The sequence below is a fragment of the Homo sapiens genome, chromosome X (assembly GCF_000001405.40).
Source record: "Homo sapiens chromosome X, GRCh38.p14 Primary Assembly".
Classification (NCBI taxonomy): domain Eukaryota; kingdom Metazoa; phylum Chordata; class Mammalia; order Primates; family Hominidae; genus Homo; species Homo sapiens.
In genome coordinates, this window is record NC_000023.11 from 135,019,030 (window position 1) to 135,037,018 (window position 17,989).

General features: G+C 42.4%; 2 protein-coding genes across 2 annotated transcripts, besides 4 other annotated features; one reads left to right on the forward strand and one right to left on the reverse strand.

Annotated features, from left to right (window-relative positions):
- Positions 1 to 1,483: 1,483 nt before the first annotated feature.
- RTL8B (retrotransposon Gag like 8B) lies at positions 1,484 to 3,513 on the reverse strand. Its single transcript, NM_001078173.2, has one exon. It carries the CDS (start codon positions 3,428 to 3,430, stop codon positions 3,089 to 3,091), a length of 342 nt encoding a protein of 113 aa, NP_001071641.1. The 5' UTR covers positions 3,431 to 3,513; the 3' UTR covers positions 1,484 to 3,088.
- Positions 2,967 to 3,467: an enhancer, noted in NCBI's record as "H3K27ac hESC enhancer chrX:134156026-134156526 (GRCh37/hg19 assembly coordinates)". NCBI's record gives its function as "activates a minimal SCP1, AML or CMV promoter by ChIP-STARR-seq in naive H9 embryonic stem cells {active_cell/tissue: H9 hESC(naive)}" and the evidence as "EXISTENCE:reporter gene assay evidence [ECO:0000049][PMID:30033119]".
- Positions 3,468 to 3,968: an enhancer, noted in NCBI's record as "H3K27ac hESC enhancer chrX:134156527-134157027 (GRCh37/hg19 assembly coordinates)". NCBI's record gives its function as "activates a minimal SCP1, AML or CMV promoter by ChIP-STARR-seq in primed H9 embryonic stem cells {active_cell/tissue: H9 hESC(primed)}" and the evidence as "EXISTENCE:reporter gene assay evidence [ECO:0000049][PMID:30033119]".
- Positions 11,307 to 11,808: an enhancer, noted in NCBI's record as "NANOG hESC enhancer chrX:134164366-134164867 (GRCh37/hg19 assembly coordinates)". NCBI's record gives its function as "activates a minimal SCP1, AML or CMV promoter by ChIP-STARR-seq in naive H9 embryonic stem cells {active_cell/tissue: H9 hESC(naive)}" and the evidence as "EXISTENCE:reporter gene assay evidence [ECO:0000049][PMID:30033119]".
- Positions 13,326 to 14,517, forward strand: RTL8C (retrotransposon Gag like 8C). The gene has a single exon (NM_001078171.2). The coding sequence runs from the start codon at positions 13,355 to 13,357 to the stop codon at positions 13,694 to 13,696; it is 342 nt and encodes a 113-aa protein (NP_001071639.1). The 5' UTR covers positions 13,326 to 13,354; the 3' UTR covers positions 13,697 to 14,517.
- Positions 13,365 to 13,534: an enhancer, noted in NCBI's record as "active region_29978". NCBI's record gives its function as "activates an Ori minimal core promoter by ATAC-STARR-seq in GM12878 lymphoblastoid cells {active_cell/tissue: GM12878}" and the evidence as "EXISTENCE:reporter gene assay evidence [ECO:0000049][PMID:35858748]".
- Positions 14,518 to 17,989: the final 3,472 nt, after the last annotated feature.

Below are 17,989 nucleotides of genomic sequence, written 5' to 3' on the forward strand. Positions count from 1 at the left end.
GTAAATCTGGGAGATTTGCTCTTAATTGGCAAGTATACCTTTAGGATACTATGGGCAACGGGTATGTAATACAAGTTCTTCATTCCATAAGGAGATATTGTTCAAGGTCCAGGGCTCTGCCTGAAAAGCCAAGATTAATGAGGCTAGTTAGCATCCTAATTTCTCAAATTTGCATTCCTGCCAGTAACAAATACACAGATAACACAAAATCCAAATACCAGCAATCAATCTTACTGATTTGTAAATATAATATAAGTGGATTATACTTAGAGAACGTCCATGTTCACCAATATAGAAGTCATTAAATCATTTCAAGAAGCAATATACACATTTCTAGTCAGTATCAAGAATTAACCAGCAAAAAGGCTAATAAGCAAACACAACCATCACCATTATAAAAGGGAAGTATTTGTGTTTTACTTCAAACCAAGCACCAGGTTACTCTCAGTGTTTACCGTCCTCAGGTTTTAGAGCAAAACAAGGGTTTTCCTTTAATGTTTCCCTTTCATACTAGATGTCATACAATGTAGGCATGAGTATAAGGAGGCAGGCATTGTTCATTTCTTACTCCTATATACTTGCACTTGAGGTATTAAGACACAGTCAGCCCAGGTGGCCAAAGGGGTGGGGACAGCACATGATGGAATGGGGGAAGAGCAGCCTATTCCAGCCAATTCTTGTCTTGACCAGCCTGGCTCTAGATCACTCTTCTTTAACTCGTTTGCATATAAAAACTACACACATCATGTTTTCTGCGGGAGAACACCTGGAAATGAGGCCCAAAGCCAAATTTAAAGAAAAACAGTATATTAAATACACAATTATGGTTTTAAAATAAAACTGTGCAACGTGACCTGCAAATGTCATTCATTCCAGAAAACTGAACGCATTCAATCTGACCATGAATTTACTCATTTTTAAATTGAATATTCCCTATAAATTTCAAGGGAAACTTATGCAAAATACTAGGAACAGAATTGGACTGAATAACGTGATTTTCGACACGCAATTCACTTGAGATATAAGATTACAAACAACGTTCAATCATGATCGGTGACCAACACTTCAGGCATTCACTGTCGTAAAACAAGTGCTGGGTCTGTTCTCACTCATAGGTGGGAATTGAACAATGAGAACACATGGACACAGGAAGGGGAACATCACACACTGGGGCCTGTTGTGGGGTGGGGGGAGTGGGGAGGGAAAGCATTAGGAGATATATACACCCAATGTAAATGACGAGTTAATGGGTGCAGCACACCAACATGGCACATGTATATATATGTAACAAACCTGCATGTTGTGCACATGTACCCTAAAACTTAAAGTATAATTTAAAAAACAAACAAACAAAAGAACAATAACAACAAAAAAACAAGTGCTGGGTCAATATATGTGGTTTTACATTGAATATACTACAAAACTTCCTTCATTTTTGGTATATCTATGAAATAAGCTACACAAAGACTAAAACTTCACCAAATACAATGGTATTAAAGCAATTTAATGGTAAAATAAAATCAAAGTTCAGGCTACCTGGTAACTTGAGGCCAGAACTGTTGTAAAGCAGGAGGCACAAAGCCAATTAAAACATTTCCCTTATTGTGCATGGAAAATAACAAAAAATTTTTTTACCCAAGCTTATGAAATGTACCAGGATCACATGTAATTGAATAAAATGATACCAAATACCCAATTCTTCTGCAAAATAAAACCCCCTGGTCATCAACCAGGTTTGTATCTAAATTAATGATCTCATTTCTGCATTTCCCCCCACTACCTACATAATCAAGAATTTATAAATGCTTTTGAAAAGCACCTATATAATTCTGTTGGTTCCCTGAATCATGGGTTGAGTAAAATTTTACAGCTGTTCACCAATAATCTGTGTGGGATTTATGGTTTGTAACAATTTGGGAATTGTGTTTTCAAACCACTTTCTGGAAATGAGGATACATTTTCCAAGAGCCTGCTGGCTGACTTCTCACATAGTGTTGACCAAAATGAGGTAACGATTCATTTACTAAGAGGCTTGGGATAATCCTAACTGGTTTAGAGGATTCAACATCTGGGACAGAAGGATCACCAGTGGGGACACTATCCCCCAGGTTACCACAGGACTCTATCTTAGATGTTTTATAATGCAGGAGTCAACATCAGTCACTGAATGGCAGGGGATATCGCTTCTGAACAAGATATGGACCACATTTACAGGACCAGGGAGGGAAAGGTGCCATATTCATTCAGACTCTATTTCTTTCTCAATAGTGTCTGACATTTATTGAAAATATGGAAAATACTTTTCTCCAGGTAGTATAAAGGAGTTAAGCAGAAGATACAAGTTATTTTGTTGATCAAAAAGCACCTGAGAAAATGCTGCAAATTCAGAAGAGAAATGGATTCTGGGCAAAACTAACTGGTCCACAAGAGAAAATGAGAGACTCGATTTGGCTGCCAGGCACAACTGAGCCCTGGCAGCCATGTGGCAGGAGCACAAAAAGTCTCTGGGATTGGGGAGGAAATGGGTCTCGCTGAAGGTAACAGGTCCCTTGAGGGGCAGCCAGCTGTCTGGATCATTGTCCAGGGGCTGTGTCCAGCCCAGATACCTCCGAGGTGAGTACAGATCACTAGAAGCAGCAGTCTGTCGGTGGAATGCGATGGATGGCGATGGCAGTGGCAGCGCAGGTCTGTGGGCAGCATGATGTAGTCGTCTGGAAGTCTGGTGAGGAGGAGGGGGGTTGGCAGCGGCGGCTGTCAGTGGTCTGTCAGTGTGTAACAGGAGCTCAGCTTTGTGCAACTGGAGCGCAGGACAGCGTCCAAATGTGCATGGGAGGGGCTGAGCTGGCACGAGAGGGCGGAGGCAGCCCGCTCCAGAGTGAGGCCCAGGGGCGGCAGCAGGAGCCTGGAGCGCTATTCCTGGAACAAAGGCAAGCACTACGCGGGAGGGGACAGGAGCGCAGGGGACATCGTGGCGGCTCGAGGGGGAGGGAGGCGCGGAGGGAGGGCGCCGGTGGCGACCCTGGCGGCGGCCAGTAACACAGCGGACCCTTCCCAGAGCACCGGTCCCCAGGCCCGAGGGTCTCCCGGCCTAGAAGTCCTCGTCCTCCTCCCATCCAAAGACCCGCTTCATCTCAGCCAGGAAGCCCCGGTAATCACTGAGGAGGGGGCTCTCCTTCTTGATGTAGGGGATCACCCACTGCAGGGCGGGCCCCGTGAGGCGGGTGATGAGGAACGTCACCTTCAGGGCGTCGTTGGAGAACGTGTTCTCGTCCACGAACATGTAGGAGCTCGTCTGCACGATGAACTCCGGGAGCCGGTCGGTATCGCCATCAAACGTCTCGGGAAAGGGAATCGGGTTCCTCCAGCGACGCGCCGCGGGCCGGAGGGGCCGAGCCAGGAGGGCCTTCATCAGCTGCACTCGACCTTCCATCGCGCCGCGCTGGCTCCGCTGAGTTTAGCTGAGCTGCGCTGGGCTTCGCCGGGGGCTGCACCGAGGCGTAGCGGGAAGTGCATGTCGCGGGAGGAGAAGCCGGGATGTGGGCGGAGCCATGGGGAGGGCCCAGGCGCTTTGGCAAGCTCTGCCCAGAAGGCCTGGAGGTCATTAGTGCGCCAGGGGGTCCCGGGGCACCCAGCGGAGCAGGTGGTGGGAAATGTGGTGGCTGGCTTAACTGGTCAAGGAGGCAGGGTCGCACCGTAGGGGTGGGGCAAAGTCTTTCTAGGCGGTTGGGGAGTGAGGATTTTTTTGGTGACGTCCAAGCCCATGTGCTTGGAGAGCAAAGCCTGTAAGTTCTTTAAAGCTGATTAGTCAGCCTGGTATATCTATTCCTTGTCCCATGCTCTCTGTCCTTCCATGTTCCTTCGCAAACCCTCAGCTATGACACTTTTGAAAATTATTGGTCAACAATTTTTTTTAAATGTCCCTAGATTTGCTTTCCTCTGATGTTTTCTCATGATTAGAATCAGTTATTTTTGCCAGGTATACTACAGCAAAGATTTTGTGTGTTAGTTTATCATATCAAGGTGTTCATGATGTAGTATATTTTGTTATTGATGATGTGTACCTTGATCACTTGTTTGCCATAGATACTTTCAACGCAGTTGGGTTGACTAGGTTATGTAAGTCCTGATGAGCAGAGTAGCACCCATATTTCCGAAACATCCATACAGGCCATTCAGTAAAAGTGTCCTACCAGTACAACTAAATGTGATATATCTTTCCTCCAAATTACAAGATACCCTCCATGAATTTTATCTATTTCTTAATAGGAAATGAAATCAGTCAAATGCATTTTCTGTGTCTATTGAATATGGTCCTATGGATTTTCTCTTTGCGTTAGCTTTTTGTTGCTGTCTTAACGAATTACCACAAATTTAGTGGTTTAAAACAACACAAATTTATCATCTTATTGTTTTGTAGGTCAGAAGTTCCATATGGGTCATACTAGACCAAAGTCATAGTATTGGGAGGCTATGTTCCTTTCTGGAGATTCTATGAAATAATTTCTTTCCCGTTCAGTTAGACTATTGGCAGAATTCAGTTCCTTGTGGTTGTAGGATTGAGGTAGTGTTCTTGCTCTGTAATATGAGGGCCATTCCCAGCTTGTAGAGGACGCCATATTTACTGGCTCAATGCCACCTTCTTCCCCTTCAAAGTCAGCAATAGTGGGTGTCAAATTTTTCTCATGTGGCTTCTTTCTAATCCTCTCTGCCTTCATCTTCCACTTTTAAGAGTTCATATGATTAGATAATTGATGATAATCTTCATATTTTCAGTGCAACTGATTAGCAACTTTAGTTCTGTCTGCAGCTTTAATTCCTTCTTTGTAGGGAGACCCCCTGAAACTATTGCTATGGAATAAAAGATGAAATACTCCTGATTATTGTAAATACAAAATTGCATGCAGGATTGTATAAAGACAATGCCAGGTTGGAATGCCACAAAGAGCCAACAGCACGTGATGTGCTTCCCCCTGCAGAGAGCCTATGAATGGATGTGCAGTCAGGGAGGTTTCACATCACCGAGATTCCTATCCCAGAAAAGCTGATGTTCATAGCTCTGGGAATGGAATGCGACCCTCGTGGAGAGCCTATAAATGAACGCATGAAGGGTGCCTGTCCATATGGATAAGATAGGGCTATAAATGCCCTCATCTTGCCACGGCTCTTCTAGGCCTCTTTAGGGTTAAGGCATACTCCCTTCTGAGAATTTCTGGTCTAACCAGTTGTCTAGCTTCACGTCCTGTTTCTATGGATTGTTTGTAACCAGTTTTTGCTGCAACTGTTACTGCTGATTAATATCTTGCTAATCATAGGTTATGGAAAGACTGTTTCTGTTTTAAGGCTCTGTTAGAAATTACTGATGCACACACTATATTGTAAATTCTTTTCTCTGTATACTGTACTTCTGCATACAGATGTTATGTTAAAGAATTACTTAATCCCCATGTGACCATCTCACCTCATAATCAAATGACCTTAAATCCCTCACTAACCTACCCCCGCCCTCACTAAACTTAATAATAAATGCTGATATATCCAGTGCATTGTTGGCACCGCGGGACCAGAAGGCGGTGACCCCCCGGACCCAGCTTTCACTATCTTGTGTGTGTCTATTATTTCTTGACCTGCTGATCTGCCTGGGAACAAAGAGAGAGCCCCGTTGCATTGCCGGCTGCTGGCCAGATCCCGCAGTACTTCTTGCTTTATATTTTCAGGTTCTGGGAATTAGGACACACACATCTTTGGGGGATTGCCATTTTGTCTGCTACAGTTCCTTTTAGTTAGTACAGTAAATTATAATTGATTTTGATTCATAAAACAACCTTGCATTGCTGGGATAATTTCATTTAATCACGGCATATTATTCTTTTTATATTTTACTAGATTAGGCAAATGGATAAATAAATTATCGCATAGTCATACAATGGAATTCTGTATTAGTACACACAGCAATGTGGAGGAATGCTACAGATGTTACATTGAATAGAAGTTGTGAGGCACAAAATTTGTATATACTTTAGGATTCCACTTTATATCAGTGTTAAAAATAGGCAAAGCTAAATGCTTATAGAATTCAGAATAGTGGTCATCTCAGGGGAGGAGGAACTATAGTGTGTAAAGCTGGATAAAAGAAACTTGTAAGATGCCAAAAATGCTTTCCCAAGTGGCTAACATTCTGTATTCCCACCAGCAATATATGAGAGATTAAGTTGCTTTTCAAACCCATTTATGCTCAGTATTGTCAGGTTTTGTTTTGTTCTGGGTTCTTTATTTGTTGGTTTTCTTTTTTATTTCAGCCATGCTAATAGGTGTGATTGTGGTTTTAATTTGCAATTCCCTAACTTCATAAATTAGGGAACACAGAACACACATAGACACAGAAAATGCATTTGACTGATTTTACTTCCTACTATTAAGAAACAGATAAAATTCATATGTCCCTGAACACCTTTTTTGTTGCTTATTTGTCATACATTTATCTTTTTTAGTGAAATGTCTCTTCAGATATTTTTTTCCATTTTAAATCAGGTTGTTGACCTATACATTGTTGTTTTGAGAGTTCTATATGTATCCTGTATTCAAATCTTCATTAGATATGCCACTTACAAATATTTTCTCCCAGCCTGTGCCTTCTCTGTTCATTCTCTTAACATTGTCTTTTGAAGAGCACATGCTTTTTAATATGAAGTCCAATTTACCAAATTTTGCTTATGAGAATTGTGCTTTTGTTGTGATAGCTAAGAAATCTTTGTCTAATCCAAGGTTTCAAAAGTTGTTTTTTCCTGTTTTCTTCTAGGAGCTTTATAATTTTAGGTTTTACCATTAGGTCTATTAACGTTTTTTAGTTAATTTTTGCATATGGTGTGAGATATGGATCAAATTAATTTTTTTTGTAAATAGACATTCAACTTTTCCTGCATCATTTTGAAAATATTATCCCTTTTCCACTGAATTGCCTTTACAACTTTACAAAAATCAGCTGTCCATATATGTGTGGGTCTATTTCTGAATTGCATATCCAGTTCTATTCATCTACAGTTGGTCCTCTATATCCATGGGTTCTGCATCTGCAGATTCAACCAATGGCAGATCAAAATATTCTGGAAAAAAATAATAAAAAATAATTTGTATACATTGATTTTGTATGCTGTGACTATACTGAATTCGTTTATCAGATCTAGGAGCTTTCTGGATGAGTCTTTAGGATTTTCTAGGTATAGAATCATATCATTGGTGAACAACAACAGTTTGACTTCCAATAAATATAGTACATTTATTGATTTGCATATATTAAACCATCCCTGTATCCCTGGTATGAAACCCACTTGATTATAACATATTATCTTTTTGATATGCTGTTGGATTCAGTTAGCTAGTATTTTATTGAGGATTTTTGCTGCTATACATCAATAATGACCAAGCCGAGAATCAAATTAAGAACTCAATCCCTTTCATAACAGCTTCAATAAAACTACTTAGGAATATACTTAATGAAGGAGGTGAAATATCTTTATAAGGAAAACTACAAAACACTGCTGAGAGAAATCATTGATGACAGAAGTGGAAACACACTCCATGCTCATGGATGGGAAGAATCAATATTGTGAAAATGACCATACTGCCCAAAGCAATCTACAAATTCTATGCAATTACCATCAAAATACCCTCATCATTCTTCACAGAAGTATAAAAAACAATCTTAAAATTCATATGGAACCAAAAAAAAAGAGCCCACATAGCAAAAGTCATACTAAGCAAAAAGAACAAATCTGGAGGCATCGCATTTGCTGACTTCAAGTTATACTACAAGGCTGTAGTTACCAAAACAGCATGGTACTGGTATAAAAATAGGTATGTAACAGAATGGAGAACCCAGAAATAAAGTCAAACACAACCAACATATCTTTAAAAAAGCATACAAAAACATAATTTGGGGAAAGGACACCCTATGCAATAAATGGTACCGGGAAAACTGTCAAGACACATGTAGAAGAATGAAACTGGATCCCCATCTTTCACCTTATAAAAAAATTCAACTCAAGATGGAGCAAAGACTTAAACCTTAGACCTGAAACCATAAAAATTCTAGAAGATACCATCATAAAAACTCTTCTAGACATTGGCTTAGGCAAATAATTCATGACCAAGACCCCAAAAGCAAATGCAACAAAAATAAAAATAAATAAATGGGACCTAAAAACTGAAATCTTCTGCACAGCAAAAGAAATAATCAGTAGAGTAGACAGCTAGTATTAACAAACTATGCATTCAACAAAGGACTAATATTCAGAATCTACAAGGAACTAAAAAAAATCAGCAAGAAAAAAAACTCATCAAAAAGTGGGCAAATGACATGAATAGACATTTCTCAAAAGAAGACACACAAACAGCCAGTAAACATGAAAATATGCTCAACATCACTAATCATCAGGGAACTGCAAATTAAAACCACAGTGAGTAGTGCCGCAATAAACATACGTGTGCATGTGTCTTTATAGCAGCATGATTTATAGTCCTTTGGGTATATACCGGCACTATTCACAATAGCAAAGACTTGGAACCAACCCAAATGTCCAACAATGATAGACTGGATTAAGCAAATGTGGCACATATACACCATGGAATACTATGCAGCCATAAAAAATGATGAGTTCATGTCCTTTGTAGGGACATGGATGAAATTGGAAACCATCATTCTCAGTAAACTATCGCAAGAACAAAAAACCAAACACCGCATATTCTCACTCATAGGTGGGAATTGAACAATGAGATCACATGGACACAGGAAGGGGAATATCACACTCTGGGGACTGTGGTGGGGTCGGGGGAGGGGGGAGGGATAGCATTGGGAGATATACCTAATGCTAGATGACACGTTAGTGGGTGCAGCCCACCAGCATGGCACATGTATACATATGTAACTAACCTGCACAATGTGCACATGTACCCTAAAACTTAGAGTATAATAAAAAAAAAAAAAATAAAAAAAAAAAATAAAACCACAGTGAGATACCACCTTACTCCTGCAAGAATGGCCATAATTTAAAAGTCCAAAAACAATGGATGTTGGCATGGATGTATGGAAAAGGGAACATTTTTACACTGCTTGTGGGAATGTAAATTAGTACAACCAGTGTGGAAAACAGTATGGAGATTCCTTAAAGAACTAAAAGTAGAACTGCCATTCAATCCAGCAATCCCACTACTGGGAAATAAGGAAAAGAAAATAAGTCACTCTGTGAAAAAGACACATGCACATGCATGTTTATAGCAGCACAATTCGCAACTGCAAAGATATGGAACCAACCTAAGTGCCCATCAACCAACGAGTGGATAAAGAACATGTGGTATATATACAACATGTACTACTACTCAGCCATAAAAAGGAATGAAATAATGTCTTTTTCAGCGACTTGGATAGAGCTGGAGGCCATTATTCTAGGTGAAGTTAACTCAGGAATGGAAAACCGAATGTTGTATGTTATCACTTACAAGTCGAGTTAAACTATGAGGATGCAAAGGCATAAGATTGATATAATGGACTTTGGTGACCCGGGGGGAAGGATGGGAGGGGAGTGAGTGATAAAAGACTACGTATTGGGTACAGTGTACACTGTTTGGGTGACAGGTGCCCTAAAATCTCAGAAATCACCACTAAAGAACTTATCCATGTAACAAAAAACCACCTGTACCCCAGAAACTATTGAAATAAAAGTAAAAATTAGAAAAAGAGTACAACTAAAAATATGAGGTAACAACTATTTACATAGCATTTATATTGTATTAGGTATTATAAGTAATCTAGATATGATTTAAAGTATATGGGAGGATATACATAGGTTATATGCAAATATTATACCATTTTATATAAGGGAGTTGAGTGTCCTCAGATTTTGGTATTTGCAGGGGTCCTGGAACCAATCCCTTGTAAATTCTAAGGGATGACTGTATTTGTCTATTTTGATAACAATATCACATTGTCTTAATTGCAGTAGCTTTATTATAAATCTTGAAATCAAATATTATTAGTCCTCCAACTTATTTTTTCAATTTCAAAGCTGTTTTTGCTAATGCATTTTTTTTTTGCATTTCCCTACGAATTTTAGAAGCAATTAGTTGTTTTTTATATGTTAAAACACTTGCTGGGACTTTGAATCTATACATCAATTTTGGGAGAATTGATATACTAACAATATCAAATCTTCCAGTTCATGACTATATCTCTCCAATATTCAGATATTTTGTAATATATGTCAGGAATGTTCTGTAGTCTTCAGGGTACAAGTCTCATCTCCTTTGTCATATTTAACCCTAACATTTTTTACGTTTTTATGGTGTTTAAAATTCTAGCTCAAATTTCTCTCGTTCGTTACTAGGATTACAATTGATTTTTGTATATTCGCCTATGTCCTGCAACCTTGGGAAACTCGCTTCTTAGTTCTAGTATTTTTTGTTGATCTTAGAAAATCTGTTTTCTATATACATGATCCTGTTGTGTATGAATAACAGAAGTTTGCCTTTGCCCTGTCCAATCTAGATGCCTTTTATTACTTTTTCCTTTCCTTATTTTCTTTGCCCTCATTGCACTGTCTAGAATCTCCAGTACAATATTGCACTAAAGTGATGAGAGTGGGCATATGTACTTGTTTTGTTGGTCTTTTTTAACTTTCAAGTTCAGGGGTACAAGTGCAGGTTGTTACATAGGTAAATTTGTGTCATGGGAGTTTGTTGTACAGATTATTTCATCACCCAGGTATTAAGCTTATTAGCCATTAGTTATTTTTCCTGATCCTATGCCTCCTCCCACCCTCCACCCTCTGATAGGCCTCAGTGTGTGTTGTTCCCCTCTACATGTCTTGTTCTTGATCTAAGAGTGAAAAGCATTCAGGCTTTCACCTTTGAGTACGATAGCTGTAGGTTTTTTGTAGATGCTCTTCCTCAGATTTAGGAGCTCCCTTCAAAGTTTAATGAGAGTTTTTATTGGGAACCATATGACACAAATCTTTGCTCTAGGAATTTACTCTAGAAAAATGAAAACCTATGCTCACACAAAAATCTGTACATAAATGCTTATAGCTGATTCCTTTGTAATTTCCAAAACCTGTAAATGTGCCAAATATCTTCCAACAAATGAATGGATCACCAAATTTGTATATCCATGCTGTGGCAGACAGATTCTAAGGTGGCTCCCAACATCCCAATGTCCTGGTCATATCTTTCAGTGCAGGTGGGGACTATGGCTTGCTTCTAACCAATAGAATGTGGCAAAGGTGATGAGATGTAACTCCCATGATTACGTTAGTTTATACATGACTTGTGGGGAAAAGAAAGAGAGATCAGACTGTTACTGTGTCTATGTAGAAAGAAGTAGACATAAGAGACTCCATTTTGTTCTGTACTAAGAGAAATTCTTCTGCCTTGAGATGCTGTTAATCTGTAACCCTAGCCCCAACCCTGTGCTTGCAGAGACATGTGCTGTGTTGACTCAAGGTTTAATGGATTTAGGGCTATGCAGGATGCACTTTGTTAAAAAAGTGCTTGAAGGCAGTATGCTTGTTAAAAGTCATCACCATTCTCTAATCTCAAGTACCCAGGGACACAATAGGCTGCCGAAGGCTGCAGGGACCTCTGCCTAGGAAAGCCAGGTATTGTCCAAGGTTTCTCCCCATATGATAGCCTGAGATATGGCCTCCTGGGAACGGAAAGACTTGACCGTCCCCTAGCCCGACACCTGTAAAGGGCCTGTGCTGAGGAGGATTAGTAAAAGAGGAAGGCCTCTTTGCAGTTGAGATAAGAGGAAGGCATCTGTCTCCTGATCGTCCCTGGGCAATGGAATGTCTCGGTGTAAAACCCGATCATATGTTCCATTTACTGAGATAGGAGAAAACCACCTTAGGGCTGGAAGTGAGACATGCTGGCGGCAATACTGCTCTTTAATGCACCAAGATGTTTGCATACGTGCACATCAAGGCACAGCACCTTTCCTTAAACTTAATTATGGCACAGAGACCTTTGTTCGCATGTTTTCCTGCTGACCCTCTCCCCACTATTACCCTATTGTCCTGCCACGTGCCCCTCTCCGAGATGGTAGAGATAATGATCAATAAATACTGAGGGAACTCAGAGACCAGTGCCAGCGCGGGTCCTCCGTATGCTGAGCGCTGGTCCCCTGGGCCCACTTTTCTTTCTCTATACTTTGTCTCTTCTTTTCTCAGTCTCTCGTCCCACCTGACAAGAAACCCTCCCACAGGTGTGGAGGGGCTGGCCACCCCTTCATGACTCCATCTTTCAAGGAGACACATTCTCCCTTTGTTCCATGAAGAAACAAGCGGCACTGTTGTGAACTGCCTGTGGACAGGGCAACATGGCAGAGAACTGAGGGCAGCTTTTATAACAAATTAAGAGATTTCTTAATATTTAACCCTCCTTACATTAACTGCTCGTGGTATATTATTCTTTTTAAAAAATTATTTATACTTTTTGTGGGTACATAATAGGTATACGTATTTATTGGATACATGAAATGCTTTAACATAGGCACACAATGCATAATGATCACATAATGGTAAATGGGGCATCCATTCCCCTCAAGCGTTTATCCTTTGTGCTACAAACAATCCAATTATACTTTTAGTTATTTTTAAATGTACAATTAAATTATTTTGACTGTAGTCATCTTGTGCTATCAAATACTAGGTGTTAATAATCACATCATGGAGAATGGAGTATCCATCCCTCAAGCGTGGTGCATTACTCTTTGAATATGCTGCTCTGGATTGTATTTGCTAATATGTGGGGCTTCTCTATTAATGTTGCAAAATAGGGAGCCAATAATCTGGTTGAGAGATGAAAGCAGCAGCAGGAAAATGTGTTCACAGAACCTCATACGAGTGGCGTCTAGGGCCAAGGCTCCTTGAATGCATACCCAAGGGCTGATGAGAGGTGGGGACGAGTGCTGCCGAAGGACTCCTCAACTACCAGAACTACGTAGGGCCCCTAACATCCCCTCGGAGCGAGCTCCCCGCGCCCCGTACACCACCAGGTCTCCCTGGTTCCTCTCCTGCTCCCCGTCCCGCTACCTCAGGAAACTTTAGCCCAGCCTCTCCGATACAAGCCGGCCTCCTTGAGGGCTTTAGGCCCCTCTTCGCCAGTGTATACCCCACGACACGCCTGCGTACTAGGGACCACCCGGCTTTGTGGGCGGAGTCCATGAGAGGGTTGGAGCCCCGCTCGTGGCCCCGCCCACCCAAGCCTAGGCCGGCCTTCGTGGACACGCATTTCCGGCGACGCCTCGGTACTGACCTCTGCAGAGCCGGGTGGAGCCCATTGACGTCCAGCGAAGCGAGGAGCAGCGATGGACGGTCGGGTGCAGCTGATAAAGGCCCTCCTGGCCTTGCCGATCCGGCCTGCGACGCGTCGCTGGAGGAACCCGATTCCCTTTCCCGAGACGTTTGACGGCGATACCGACCGACTCCCGGAGTTCATCGTGCAGACGGGCTCCTACATGTTCGTGGACGAGAACACGTTCTCCAGCGACGCCCTGAAGGTGACGTTCCTCATCACCCGCCTCACAGGGCCCGCCCTGCAGTGGGTGATCCCCTACATCAAGAAGGAGAGCCCCCTCCTCAATGATTACCGGGGCTTTCTGGCCGAGATGAAGCGAGTCTTTGGATGGGAGGAGGACGAGGACTTCTAGGCCGGGAGACCCTCGGGCCTGGGGGCGGGTGCTCTGGGGAGGGTCCGCTGTGTTACTGGCCGCCGCCAGGGTCGCCACCGGCGCCCTCCCTCCGCGCCTCCCTCCCCCTCGAGCCGCCGCGATGTCCCCTGCGCTCCTGTTCCCTCCCGCGTAGTGCTTGCCTTTGTTCCAGGAATAGCGCTCCAGGCTCCTGCTGCCGCCCCTGGGCCTCACTCTGGAGCGAGCCGCCGCCCTCTCCTTCCAGCCAGCCAGCCCCTCCCATGTACATTTGGACGCTGTCCTGCGCTCCAGCTGCAAGCTGGGCTCCTGTTACACACTGGACAGACCACCCACTGCCGCCGCTGCCAAGCCCTCTCCTCCCCACCAGACTGCCAGACGACTACATCATTCTGCCCACAGACCTGCGCTGCCACAGCCATCGCCATCCATCGCATCCCACCGACAGACTGCTGCTCCTAGTGATCTGGACTCACCTCGGAGGTATCTGGGCTGGCCACAGTCCCTGGACAGTGATCCAGACAGCTGGCCGCCCCCCAAGGGATCTGTCACCTTCAGCGAGACCTATTTCCTCCCCACCCCCAGAAACCTCTTGTGTTCTTGCCTAGGCCCAGGTGTTCCTGGCAGCCAAATCGAGTCTCTCATTTTCTCTTGTGGACCAGTTAGTTTTGCCCATAACGCAGTATTCTGAGTTTGCAACTGTCTCTCTGATGTGTGCCTTTTGTTCAACACAGTAACCCCTGCATTCTGCTCTGCTCTAATACACTACCTGGAGAAAGTCTTTTCCTTATTTTCAATAAATGTCAGACATTATTGAAAAGAAATGGTCTCAATGAATATGGCACTTTTCCCTCCCTGGTTCTGTAAATGGGGTCCATATCTTGTTCAAAAGCTATATGCCCTGCCATGCTATGACTGATGTTGACACAGAGTCCTGTGGTGTCCTGCAAATGGAGATCTTACCAGTGACCAATCCCAGACGATTAATGTTGTAAACAAGCAGTTTTGTGCCTCTTAGGAAATGAACCTTAATCTGAATGTGGCCAAGATAAGGTAAGGAATAGTCAGAAAGGGTGCTTTTTCTTCCCTCATTTCCAAAAAACTGTCTAAAAGCATATACCCCAAATGGTTACAAGCCATACATCTCACACATTTGTTGGTGAACACCTCTCACAGTTTTATTTAACGCATTATCAGGGAACCAGCTAAGTGGCTTAGATACTTCAGAAAAAGCATTTACATTTATATTGCTTTAATTGGGTAGGTAGTGGAGAAAGGAATGCAGAACTGTAGTTAATTTAGGTACAAACTTGTTTAATGAATGACCTGAAACACAATACAATTACCACCTTCCCTAATGGGCAGAAAAAAAAATTATCTTCAACATATCTCTGCATGCTAATCTTTGAAATCTACTGTGCTAACATGCCTCTGCCACCCCATCTATCTCTGGGAAAAGCTCAATATCCCGATAGATTATCCTAAGGTGGGCTTGCAGGGCAGCACTCAGTCAACAACTCTCTGCCTTCTTTTTTTTTTTTTTTTTTTTTTGGGATGGAGTCTTACTCTGTTGCCCAGGCTGGAGTGCCGTGGCATGATCTTGGCTCACTGCAACCTCTGCCTCCTGGGTTCAAGCAATTCTTCTGCCTCAGCCTCCCGAGTAGCTGAGACTACAGGCACGTGCCACCACACCTGGCTAATTTTTGTGTTTTTAGTAGAGACAGGGTTTCACCATGTTGGCCAGGATGGTCTCAGTCTTCTGGCCTCATGATCCCCCAGCTTTGCCCTCCCAAAGTGCTGGGATTACAAGTGTGAGCCACCATGCCTGGCCTCTCTGCCCCATTTCTAATATGTGTTATTTTTCCAGAGCATACGAATGAGGAATAAATCACAAGAGTGTTTTTTTTGTTGTTTATTTTATTGCTTCTCTCTCTTCATTTAAATAGGTGAAAATTTGCCATTCAGCAGTGATTCATAGGGCGGTATGTGGAGGTGGAGGTACATTATTATCTGTATTAGGTATGTGATAATATTTGTATTCCCAGAAGTAGTGGAAACATCACGAATTTGTAGTTTGTCATATAATAGGTCAAAATCTTTTTGAAATCAGAGATAAAATTCAAATTGCTTAATAAAATAAAGTTTTTATGATTTACAGGGCTCTTAAAACACTGAAACCGGGCTAATCATGAAGGCCAATTCAAGGTGCTGACAGCCTTCCTGGATGGGTATGAAGAAAGATTGTGTTAAGCATATTCACTGTTTAGTTTTAAACACAGATTCTGCTGAAGTGGTTGGAAAAGTGCTTGGAAGCAGTTTACATTACTGAGTAGGTCCAGCATATTCCCTGTGCTCTCTGTCCACTGGCTCTGGAGGTAGGTAGAATGGGCAGGGACCTTCTAGGTATCCTTTGAACAATGTCAGTAACCCCCAACTTCCCTCAACAACGATGCCCCAGCAGTTTTCTTCCTCCTACAAGAATGAGACTTATTCCTTGATCTATGCTAGTTTTATCATCTCAAGGGTCCTCTTTTGTGCTGCAAATGTCTTGGGTAGGGTAATAATTCACAGTCATGAACATCTTCACAGGATTCCATAAAGGGACAAAGGAATGGCATTTGTAAGAGTAGAAGGGGCTCTTTTGTATTACTTTGCAGTCTCACCTTTTCAGTTGTCACTGTTTCCCTCACTTCATTCTCTGCAATGTGGTCAATACCCAAGCAAGAGGCCTTACCTCCAAAGGATGGAGAAACATAAAAAGTGACAATATGGAAGATGAATATAAGAAAGAGAACAGAAATACAATTAACCTCTTTCTTTTGGTGATTGGGACCAGTAATGACTTGAAGCCTATAATTAAGATAACTTTAAACAAATTTTTGTGACACTCAGATCCACAAAGATTTAATAGGGGAACAAAGTAGCCTTTGGATGGTTCAGTGCCCTGAGGCCTTGGTTCTCAGGGGAATCCTGGTAGAATATACTAGTGAAAGGTCACTCCCCACTTACTACCAGTGGCCTAACTGCAATCCTGTACACAGAGTCAACCTTAAGGCAGAGATGTAGTAAGGAAGGGGATTTCAAAGGGACCCTTTGTGAGTGTCCCTGATCTGCCTGTCACTAGGAGGCTGGAGGGCCAAAGGAGTAGGCTGAGAGATTGAGTACCAGAAGTCCTAGATGCAGGGATGCTTCCTCCAGGTGCCACTGCAGAGGTCTGATGACCTGCCTGCTTCTATAGATACTGCAACACTGTTTTGTCTTCCATCATGAAGGTCACTCAGATTACACAGGTACTGCAATAAGCAGTTCTGAGCATCAAAGAGCCTAAAATGAAAAGTATGAAATCTGTTGGGACCAGGTATGGGATGGACAAAGGTCAGTCAGAACACATACCCAGTGAAATGAAGTAAAATGAAAGGCCATGATGATCTCAAACTATTTAATGACATGGGGAAATGATCTCATCTGAACAGTAAAGAATAAAAGGAGTCTACAAAGCCTTCAAAACTTGGTGAGGGCAATCAAAGTCCCTCTATCTTACCACCACTGAAGCTCATCACGGACCCCATACTGAAAGTACCTGGACTTTATGTGCATGAACAATCCCTGACTTTATGATGATGGAGAAGGTGGTTCAGGGAAGGCTGCCTGGCTTGATTCTGTAGCTGCCGGCCCAGAACTGAGCTCCTTCTCTTCCCCGTACACAGCTGCTTTTGGCCCTCTTGACGGTTGTACCACCTTCTTTCACTTGTCCCCAGTCCTCTTCATACCCACTCTCTTACTGGTCCTTAACAGATGGTCACCAAATTCATTCTGCCCCCTGACTCTCACTTCAGTGGGTCTCTCTTTTCCAACCCTGAGGCAGTACCCCGATTCTAATGCCTGTCCCCTTTAGCCCACTGCTTGCAGAGGCCCCGCCATAGTGCCCAGCTGATCCTGGAACCTATTTTTCTCTCCCTGATGTGGCTGTTGCTGTGTCTTAGGCTGCTGAGAGCATATTGTCACATGATCAAAAAGAGAACATTTAGGATTTCACAACCCTGAAATTATAGTAAGCCTGTTAATTTGGGTCTTGGGCTAAAGACTGCAATAGTACCCACTCTGCAACCTGAGTGGAGGACTGCATATTTACTCACATTAGAAGCAAACAAAGTTTTGGTAAGATCATTAGGATAGATTCCTAAAACTAATGTATATATCAAAGGCCATGCAATTTTAACTGTTTGTTAAAAATCTCACTCCAGAAAGATTGTTTTCAAATTATATTCTCATGAGTAATGAGAGGGAATTTTTTTT